This window comes from Homo sapiens, chromosome 21 (genome assembly GCF_000001405.40).
Source record: "Homo sapiens chromosome 21, GRCh38.p14 Primary Assembly".
NCBI lineage: Eukaryota > Metazoa > Chordata > Mammalia > Primates > Hominidae > Homo > Homo sapiens.
Genome location: NC_000021.9, coordinates 21,957,783 through 21,969,559, shown reverse-complemented (window position 1 = coordinate 21,969,559; position 11,777 = coordinate 21,957,783). Strand labels below are relative to the sequence as shown.

Sequence of the window (11,777 nt, the reverse complement as noted above, 5' to 3'; positions counted from 1 at the left end):
CACAGGTAGAAGAGCAATGATTGTGTTATGCTGTACTTTCAGCACTTGAACAGAATGCAGGCAATAGTAATTACGAAGATTTAGTGGTTGACTGGCTTCTGTGTGCCTTGGAAGCCTTAAATAAAAAGGTTTCTGTGGGCCAAATAGCAACTCAAGACACGTCTTGGAAGCCAGAAGGCCTCTGTGGCAGAGTTTAATGAGACATTCAACTTTGGCAGCCATAGAGCAGAGTACTACAAATCAGGCTGCAGATTTAACCACAATGATAAAGAATCATAAATTTTTAAAAAATAGAGATTTGACAGATCTTCTAAAATGAAACTAGGGCCTGGTAGGGAATGGGGGACAGACTTGGATCACTGCGTGTGAGTCATTTGAATCCACAGATTCCCTGAAACTCTTAGTGCTGGTACAAGCAACACAGACCTCATTGCTGAAAGACAGAAGCCTCCTCTTGCCTGGAGGGCCTTAGACACACTTCCCTGATGCATATCTTATACAAAGTATACTCACCATGTTCTGTATTCACACCTGCACTAACCATTGTCCTCTGACAAATAGCTGGGTTTAGATCTCAGCAAGCACAAATAGAAAAATATGTTCCCTGCTGTGAGGTTAAGTAGCTTATTCACAGGAAAATATTACAGGATCTGACAGTTATGTACCAGCAGAAACAAGAGAAATGATTTTGAGGGTTGACCTTAACATTGTTGGACCGGGAGGAGGTGAAATATATGCCTGAATAACATTGAGTTTATGGATGTTTGATCACTTTCCTGTAAGTCAAGTTTTAACATCAGACAATGACACCTGGAACTAATCCTAATATACTTTAGGACAGTCAAATGATGCCTAGAGACAAAATTGGCCTTTTGTAAATGAAATTATAGAAATTTCAGACTTGTCAGAGTTTGGGTGAAAGGTAAGAAAACTAAGGAAAAAAACTTAAAAGAATAGATTTTTTATAACAGACTGAAAATCTCATCATCTGACAATGTTCTTCAGTATGGCCCAGAATACATGCTTACACAAAAGCAATAAATATTGCACCAGTGGAGAGGGCATTGGCATCATATGGTCAGTAGTAACTGTAGAAAAACTTGCTGTGGTCTTGGTCCCACATTTCAATGAGGATGACAGGATTCCACAATGGCAGAAACCACGTGTCTACACTTACCTATCGGAGAAGAGTTAGAGTAATATTCCAAAGAGAAACAATGCCGGGGTAGCAACCAAGGTGCCATGCTCCACAATGATCTGTAGTGATTACTAATACACTACAGTGCTCTGAGGGGTAAGATAGATGTTGATATGACACGTTATTGTTTAACTTACACAAGCAAAAGAAACTCAGTATCTGTTATTGCTGCTTCAATAGAAAAATCATGATCCCTACCATGTATCACTTGCAAAGGATTATTATTTCAAGAAACTCTTGTACAATAAATATTCCTCTAATGTGTTCTAGAAAATTGTGACTTGACGTCTACCTGACTACTGTCCATTAAAAAAAGAATAATACCTACTTTTTTTGATGTATGGACACAGATACCAAGGTCTCCAAAATGTTATCATACCACTCCTTGCTCCCGACCTGTTTGATTTAGGATTTAAGGAGGTCAGGTGATAAACAGATTCCTAGTTCTAGTATATCTCACAATGGGTTTAATGGGCCAGTGGTCCTACCCTCTGGCTATTTACCTTATTCTTAGATGTGTAACTGGTATCAGTCTACTTAGCAATTGGCTAAACTCTCACAAGGAACCCTAACTTGTGACAGTTATGTCCAGAAGAGATAAGTGAAGCAGTGCCTGACATTTCATTCTCCAGATGGAAGAGTAAATCAGAAGCATTACTGCACCCACAGAAGAATTCAGAGATCAGTGATACCCTTAAAGACTTATGATGATTATCCCCATTATATCAACACCGAATTCCCTAATTTCAGCTAGTTTCCCTACACACATGTGCTAAGAAGCCCTCAACTGAATAATTGAGTGAGACTCAACAGATCTCTGGAGTCTGTTTTCTGTAGAAATCTCTCCTCTCTAGTATCCCTCCTTGTGAATGCTAGTTAGCTGCCTTGACTTACCCAGGTTCACAGCTTGATCTACTTAGTTCACAGAGTGTTCAGGATTGTGCCTGGGTTCTGCTCCTTCCTGTCCCATATCCTGGAAATTTTCTGCAGCCAGTAAACTGTAGCAATCATAGGTCTCACCTCATCTCACTCCCATGGATCACTGCCCTTCATTGCCTGCTGTTGCTTCATATTCTGTCCATTTTTTTCTTGGTTCGTTTCAAGTAGAATCAGAAATATGGTCTCTGTTACTCTATCTTGACTGGAAGAGGAAGCTGGTGATAGAAATGATGTAGTGTGAGATATGAATGGCTGTGAGTGGTCCATGTGGTGTATGGCAGAATCTTTAGTGCCTTAACAATATACTCTCTGCCCAGGTCTCTAATCCCCTCTGCTGTGTTAGTGAGTTCCAGTGCAGGCTAAAGCACCTCACCTCAAGTTTCTGCCCATTCTCTTCACTGTTGTGTTTAAAGACTTTTTTTTTTCTGAAGTCACCTGGCCCACAAACGGGACTGTTGGGAAATACAAGGAAGTTATTGCCTTTCAGAGAGGGAAATTTATTCTCAATAATTGGAGAACAGGAGTTAGTGGGAAAATATGCTATTCTTTTATCCATGACAGAAAGACTTTAATGAAATCTACACTGGCAATGAGAGTGTCCATTGAGAGTGACTCCCATTTTCCACAGTAGCTTCTAGCTCAGTGACACACGTTTTGTTTTTCTTCTCCTCGGTCTCATTTTCCTAGAAGCCTTATCTTATTTCCTTAGAGCATGTCCCAAGCAAATTACTTACAGTCAAATCTTTGTCTTAACCTCTGCTTTTAGAGAGAATCCAAAATAAGATATCACATAATTTAGTATTTATGTTACATTGTATCAAAAAAGCCTTGAGACGTCACTAGAAAAGGAGTGAATGTCACTCCAAGATGTGTATTACGATATACAGAGCAATACATTTCCTTTTTGGAAGGAGAGAATGATCATAATTTTATTACAGAAAAGGGATCACATCCCGTAAAAGAGACAGGAATGATTTTATCACTGCTGTTACTCGAGAATTTTAAATTGGCAAAAGGGATGTGTATGAACCCTCAACTGATAAATGGGTGGGTTTTCTTATATTGTCTGTTGTCAATTCATCATTGCCTCTACCTCTCCCCTGAGATATCATCTGACTTTCATGGGTAAAGCTGAAAACTTCATTTCTCAGAGTCCTTTCTTATGTAGTTCTAGATAAAGTCAGTTTATGGGAGGCATTCACAAAAGATTTAGAAGTCAGAAGAGAGAGAAGATTTAGAAGTAAGAAGAGAAATAGAGGTCATCATCATTTGGAAGCAGTTGCAGAAGTGGGGTTCACTATGACTTCATATTAGACTTGACAAGAGCATTCATATTGATGCTCTAGATTGAGATATTTGGGAGCTCTGAAATTTAAGGTTTACAATAATTTCTGAGAACCACGAGAGCAACCATGTTGTTGTTGCAGACTGAAAACATGAGTGATGACTTTGCTCCTCTTTGTTCCAGCAATGATTGTGTAAACCTGTACTTCTTTCCATTTAAGCCCTTCATGAATGAACACATAGAGGAGCTTCTGATTTCTGGCTGATTGCTACAAGGGGCCATGCAGTAGTGCAAGTCTATCTGCTTCCACTCTTGCCACTCCCTAATGCCCACAGCAGTCAAAGATGTCTTCAATAGGATTTTGATCAGATCACAAACCTGATTTAAAAAACAAAAACAAAAACAAACAAAAAAACTCCTTAATGACACTCAACTTTTATAAAAATTTTTATTTTAGTTTCGGGGTACACGTTCAGGTTGATTCCATAGGTAATTGTATGCCATGTTAGTTTGGTGTACATATTTCATTGCCCAGGTACAGCAATCCCATTATTGGGTATATACCCAAAAGAATAATGACATTCAATTGATTTGAGAATAAAGTCTTGTAGGAATTTGCCTCTGATCACCTCTTAAAGCTGTAGTGAAGCACTGTTGTATGAATTTTCCTCTGATCACCTCTTCAAGCTGTAGTGAACCCCTGTCTTCAAGATCTTTACAATAAAGCTATCCCATTTTCTCTCAGTTTTAAAAATATACTAAACTCCTTTCATCCTTTCATCCACGAAACAACCAGCTTTCCTTTTTTTAACTTAATTTTTCTCACCTCCTGTTCTTTATGTCTAATACCTACTTGTTTTTCTTATCTCAACTAATAAATCACCTTCTTGGAGAAGTCTCTCTAACTCCCAAGAATATAATCCCTCCCTATTGTACTGTATAATCTCATTGTGTTTATCACAAATGTAATTAAGTCTTTGTATATATATTTCTACAGAAAATAATTAGTTACTTAAAGAGAGATATCATGTCAGTCTGGTTTATTATTTCATTTCTACCATATTACCATATTTTCTTTTTTAATTTTATTTTTAATTGACAAATAATAATTGTAAATATTTTAATGTGATGTTATAACACATGTATATATTGTGGAATGCTTAAATCTGGTTAATTACAATATTCATCATCATTATTTATTTGTTGGTAAAACATTTAAAATTGTTGGGAGAAAAGTTGAGTGTTGGGAGAGAAGCTGAGGCAGGGCTTGCATGTCTGCTAGACTTACTGGTTCCTTGCTTCTAGCACTCCCATTATCTCAAGTAGCCATATGTTTCTCATTCACTTGATACTCCATTTCCTTTCAACCCCCACATCCTCACCACCTGTTCTTTGTTTGATCACCAATAAATAGCGTGGGCTTCCAGAGCTCGGGGCCTTTGCAGCCTCCACACTCGCAATGGCCCCCTGGTCCCACTTTCTCTCTCAAATTGTCTTTTTCTCATTCCTTTGACTCCGCCAGACTTCGTCACCCCCACGACCTGGTGTTGGGTCTGATCACCTCCCAAAAAACCTACTTTTTTAGTAATTTTAAAGTATATACTATATTATTATTATTAAATATAATTACCATGCTGTACAGTAGATCACTAGAACTTTTTCCTCTTGTCAGTCTAACTAATACTTTGTACCCTCTGACTAGTATCTCCCCTTTCCTTACATACCCTCTTCCCTAACAGTTTCTGGAAGCTATTATTCTACTCTCTACTGGAGGACAATTCTTTAGGTGGCCTTGAATCCATCCAATTATTTATGATTTTATGATTATACTTCTAAGAATAACTGTAGAATGTGCTGGGAGTGCAATATTCTGAGAGGGGGTGGAACTGCCTGAAAGTACCAAGGTCTTATTCCTATGCCTCCTAAGAAATGTGACATCTTGAGTTAGAGAGGAACTGCCTGGGACAGCCCAGGCTTTGTCTTCACCTCAGTAACAGGATGCTCTTCGAGGCTTTTCCCAGTGAATCACAGGAAACAGTGATGAATAAAAGTGATTTATGGGTTAAGGTAATTTAGGGGAATGTGAGAACCATATATGAGGTAGCTCTGAAGGCTGCTGTGCCTGCCTTCCCACAGCTGAGAATTATTGCTTTACATATTCTCATTGCCAATACTACTAATAATAACACACAGATTGAACACTCTGTCCCTAGTATCTTAACATAAAGACTAGAATGGCAGTATATTAGTTGGCTCCAACTATTAAGTCTGAGCTCCCTTCCTCTTTCTAAACTTCATCTACCAAAATGCACTGAACCTAATGGGGAAAAGATAAATTAGCAAGTCTTCTTTTAACAATTTAAGTGAGTTTTCTATTCTAAAACACAACAAAATGCCATTGAATTTATGATCTTTTTCAACATTTTAACCTCTTTTTATCAGCTCTGATAAAGCTCAAATATTTTTTACAATGGATAGTTAATCTACATTTTAGTTTAATTTGTAATATTTACAAACTGCTATATTCAAAAACAAATACAAATCCTCCTTTGGAATAAAAGAATATGGTGTTTTCTTAAAGAAATATCTTTAAGGAAATTGGATGTCAAGACAGATAATGGGCAATATTAGTTTTACTTTTAGTAACTCTTTGTCAGTATGATTGCAAAGACATGATGAAAGAAAACTAACTGAATTATATAACTACATTCAGAAGGGATTAATGCTGAGAAGGAGCCCAGCAAATTGGATGTCGTAGGTGTGTCTCAAATCTCAAGTGGGGAGCAGGAAAGAAAGACTTCTAAGATAAAGTTAATGAAGAGGATAGTTGAAGGAGTGGGCTCAGTCTCAAACAGCAGTGAAAACCCAGTCATGAGGAAACAAGAGTAGATTAAAATCTCTTGACTCAAGTTATCTGTGTGTTCATTCAATAAGCATTATGATAATGTTATTGAAAATATGTTTGTATGTCACTTTTTTTTTTTTTTTTGAGATGGAGTCTCACTCTGTCACCAGTCTGGAGTGCAGTGGCACAATCTCAGCTCACTGCAACCTCTGCCTCTTGCATTCAAGTGATTCTCCTGCCTCAGCCTCCCGAGTAGCTGGGACTACCGGTGCGCCACCACTTCCAGCTAATTTTTGTATTATTAATAGAGACGGGGTTTCACCATGTTGGCCAGGATGGTGTCAATCTCTTGATTTCGCGATCCGCTCACCTTGGCCTCCGAAAGTGCTGGGATTACAGGCATGGACCACCACAAGTGGCCGGTAACTCACTTAATATGGAAGTAAAACAATGTTTTAGAACAAATGTGAAACATTTACCACTAAAAAGTACTGAAATTTTGCAAATTATCTCATTTATAAATTATGGAATTGAGCTCACATGGAAGATTCTTCTATTTAAAGAGGGAAAATATTTTTTAAAGTTACAAAAGATCCTTAGTATTCAATTTTCAGGGATGACATAATCCACCAATCATCCACTTTTATTCTACTCTTATCCACATCTGTGTTTAACTTTTTGCATATTTTTAAACTCATAGAGAAGTACTATTCATGTGTCAACGTAATCTAATAGATTAAATATATATTTAGAAAAAAATCCTGATGTTTTATAACTCACTGGGTAATCAGGATAATTATAAATAAAACTCCCTAATAGTTAAATCACCTCCTTATATTATATGCAGGCCAAACTATAATTTTCACTCCAATTTATTACTGGAAGTTCAAAATAATGCCCTCATACAGCAATAACCTACTCTTCTTAACATCTGCTCAGTATTAGAGGCTTTGACTTATTCCTCCAATTCCATGAATCACTATATGGTATGCATAGATTTTTGTCCTTGTATTACAAACTTCTTGAAAGTAGTGCACATGCGTGGTATTGTATCTTCAGGGTCTAATATATAAAACATGGTCAAAAAATGTTTGTTGACCTAAAAAATAAATCAGCAACCTAAATTAATTCTGAAAGCATGGATCAATAGTTTCCAAACATAGCTATTTTTCTTAAATTCTAGCATTTATTTTTATTAAACCTTTAGAAACATTTTTCCTTTTGCTTTTTCCTATTTACTATAAAATTTATTCCTTATTTATTGCATTACTCTGGAATATAGATTATAATAATAATGCATTTGCTAATGTGTTGACAATAATAGAATATATTTAAAAAATAATAGACGTGATATTTCTAAATATATTTTCAAAGTAAATTAAAATAAACTCAAATTACAATCCTCTTTAATTTCAAACCATTTATTCAACAATTTCCAAAGTAGAAAGCAAGAGTATTTGATAGTATTATATAATACTATACTATAAAAACCCTGGAAGACAACCGAGGCAATACCGTTCACGACATAGGCACAGCCAAAGATTTTATGACAAAGACACAAAAAGCAAGGACAACCAAAACAAAAATTGACAAATAGGACCTAATTAAACTAAACAGCTTTTACACAGCAAAAGAAACTATCAACATGACAAACAGGCAACTTATAAAATAGGAGAAAATATTTTCAAATTATGCATATGACAAATGTCTACTATCCAGAATTTATAAGGAACTTAAGCAAATTTACAAGTGAAAAACAATGCCATTAAAAAAAAATGGGCAAAGGACAAGACCAGACACTTTTCAAAAGAAGACATACACGTGGCCAACAACCATATGAAAAAAATAGTCGACATCACTAATCATTAGATAAATGCAAATTAAAACCACAATGAGATACCATGTCACACCAGTCAGAATGGCTATTACAAAAAAGTCAAAAAATAACAGATGCTGGTGAGATTGTGGAGAAAAGAGAATGCTTACATACTGCTGAAGGGAATGTAAATTAGTTCAGGTATCGTGTAAAGCAGTGTGGCAATTCCTCAAATAACTTAAAACAGAATTACTATTGACCCAGCAATCAAAGGAATGTATGTTGTTCTACCTACCATGAAGACACATGCATGCACCATTCATTGCGGCATTATTCACAATAGAAATAATGATCCTGGGAAATCTTTTACTCATATACAGAAGAAAGAAACTAGATCCCCGTATTTCACCATATGCAAAAATCACCTCAAAATGGATTGAAGACTTAAATGTAAGACCTGCAACTATGAAAATAATAGAAGAAAACACTGGAAAATGCTGCAAGACATCAATCTGAGCAAAGATGCTTGGGCAAGAACTCAAAAGCACAGGCAACAAAAGCAAAAAATAGACACATGGTATTACATCATGCTAAAAAGCTTCTACACAGCAAAGGAAACAACACAGTGCAGAGAAAATTTACAGAATAATAGAAAATATTTGTATACTATGCATCTGACAAGGGATTAACAACCAGAATATACAAGAAACTCAAGCAATTCAATAGCCAAAAAAGAGTAAACCCAAATAATCAAATTTTTAAAATGAGTAAAGGATCTGAAAAGACTCTTCTTAAAAGAAGACATGGAAATAACCAACATCATGTGAAAGAAAAATTATCAACATCACTAACCATCAGGGAAATGGAAATCCAATCCATAATGAAATATTATCTCATCAGGTTAGGGTAACTATTATCAAAAAGACAAAAAAAATGCTAGAAAGGATGTATGTGAAGAAAGAGGTACCCTTGTACCGTGTTGGTGGGAATGTAAATTGGCATAGCCACATTGGAAAGCAGTAGTATGGAGAATCTCAAAAATACTAAAAATACAACTACCAATGATTAAACAATCTCACTTTGGGGTATGTATCCAGAATAAAGGAAAACAGCTTTTAGAAAAGATATATGCAACTGTATTCACAATAGCCAAGGTTTGGTATCAACTGAGGTGTCCAATAGCAAATAAATGTGTAAAGAAAATGTAGTAAATATACAAAATAGAATACTATTCAGCTGTAAAAAGAATAAAATCCTGTCAATTGCAGCAGTGTGGATAAAACTGAAGGTCATTATGTTAGGTTAAATAAGCACAGCAATACTGCATGTCCTCACTCCTATTTGGGAGCTAATAAAATGGACCTCATGGAAGCAGAGTGGAATGGCGATCACCAGAGAGGGTTGAAGGGGAAGAGGATAGGGTGAAATTAAGAGAAGTTGGTTAATGGGTACAAAAATACAGTTAAATACCAGCAATAAGTTCTAATATTGATAGTACAGTAAGAAAATTATATTTACTAATGATATATAGTATATTTCAAGAAAGCTAGAAGACAAGAATTGTAATGGTCCCAAAATAAAGAAAAGATAAATTTTTCAGGTGAAAGATATCCCATTTACCCTAATTTGATCATTAAACATTCTATATATGCATGAAAATATCACATGCACCCCATAAATATGTACAACTTTGATATATCGATTAAAAAGTGGGGGTAAATAACAAACACGTACTCCATGTATCTAAAATAAAAGCTGAAATTTTAATTAATTAATTAATTTTTCATTTCAGTAGGATTTTGGGGAACGGGTGGTGTTTGGTTACATGAATAAGGTCTTTAGTGGTGATTTTGGAAATTTTGGTTTAACCAACACCCAAGCAGCATGTTATACCCAATGTGTAGCCTTTTATTCCTCACCACCCCACACCCTTTTCCCTGAGTCTCCAAATTCCAGTGTATCATTCTTATGCCTTTGCATCCTCATAGCTTAGCTCCCACATATGAGTGTGAACATAATGATGTTTTAGAAACACTGCCCATTGTTTTTATGCATTTTAGTGTGTTCGATGTGACCTTTATGTTCAACTCAGATGTCACATTAAAAAAGCTTCTAAGTACCATTTGTCAAGGCAATTTAATGTGTTTTGATGACTTTTTAAATGTCATATTAGCAATTTAATGAGCTGAGACATATAGCTTACACCTTGAAATATATTTTGTCTGAAATAGTTTATACATTAGTGCCATTTTCAAAAAAAAATTAGAACTGTACCCTCAACAACTTCACATTTCACTTGGAGTTGAACCTGTGTCCTAAAGCCTCCTCACTTTCCCACCATGCTTCAACCATCTTGATGCCCCTCTAAGTTCACTCCTGCTTTGTTTTTGCACTTGCTATTGTCTTTACAAGAAAGATTTTGCTCTCTGGTATTTGTGCTTTATTTCTCAACCTCCTTCAATTTTCTGCTCAAATTTCTCTTTCAGAAGGATCCTCTCTTACTACATTGTTTAAACTAGAACTTCTTCTTTCTGACCCATCAAAATTGTCACTCTTTAGGTCCTTATCTCATTTATTTTAATTAAGAACACTTTTCACCACCTGAAACATTATATACAATTTCCTTTTTTAATTTGTCTCACACAACAAAATACAAGCTAGCTATAGAAACACCAATATTATTTTGAATATCGAGTGTTTTCTCAATGCTCAGAATAGTATCTGACTTGTAGAAGGTGGTTAATATATGCGTAATGATTGAATGAAATTAATAGCATTTTATTTTTCAGCAAAATTTCTAATATTTAATTATTTTGTCCTTGTTCATGATGATATGCCAACACAATTTAATATTAGTTGTTTTAATGAATGTATTTTAAAGCTGTTACTGAAAAAAATGTATTTTCTGGCTAAAACAGTTTTTATTCTTTGAAATAAATAAATTATGACTTCCAATGGCCTCATCAAACTGCCAAAGTGAAATTGTGGTTACAAGAAAATAATGGAAGCTTGTTTAAAATTAAACATTGTGTATTTTTTAGATCTGGAGAGCCTCAATAAGTTCCCTATCCTTTGTACCACAATATAACACACAGGCATTTTCTAAATCAAAGCTTTTACTATTTAAGTGGTAAAATAAATCAAGCAATTTACCAATATAGCAAAAGTTATTAAATCTTTGTTGAAGAAAACGTCACATCAATTAGAAACTTCCTTTGTAAACATGGCACCATCAGGGCAACAATTTACTAACACCAAATAAAGATTTTCGGGAGTGTTGAGTGGATTTACAAATAGTGTTCCTCCAAAAGAAAATATCACTTTCTGAGCCTGACAACACTCAGCCAAGTGGCAGCTGTTCTATAACCCTAGTCATATGAAAATAATAGAATTGAGATGATGAGCTATCTAAGGTAGAAATAGTATTAATGTGACATTTTTATAAAGAGAGATACAACAAACTATCAGAATAAAGAGAATAGGCAACAACAAATCAAATTCTTCAGTCTTGACTGTAAGATGAATGTTGGTGAATCAATCTTTTTAAACTCTTTTGAAAAGAAATTACATTATCAGATGCATTTGTTACACTACATTGTGTTACACTGATGAACTATTAATATAGCATACACTGGATTCTTTCTTCACCTGAGCAACTTTAATTGCTGCTTCTTATTTTCCTACTGTGGCTGAA

General features: G+C 35.2%; 1 annotated feature.

Annotated features, from left to right (window-relative positions):
• Positions 376-670: a silencer, noted in NCBI's record as "tiled region #9223; HepG2 Repressive non-DNase unmatched - State 24:Quies". NCBI's record gives its function as "represses a minimal TATA promoter and a strong SV40 promoter by Sharpr-MPRA in HepG2 cells {active_cell/tissue: HepG2}" and the evidence as "EXISTENCE:reporter gene assay evidence [ECO:0000049][PMID:27701403]".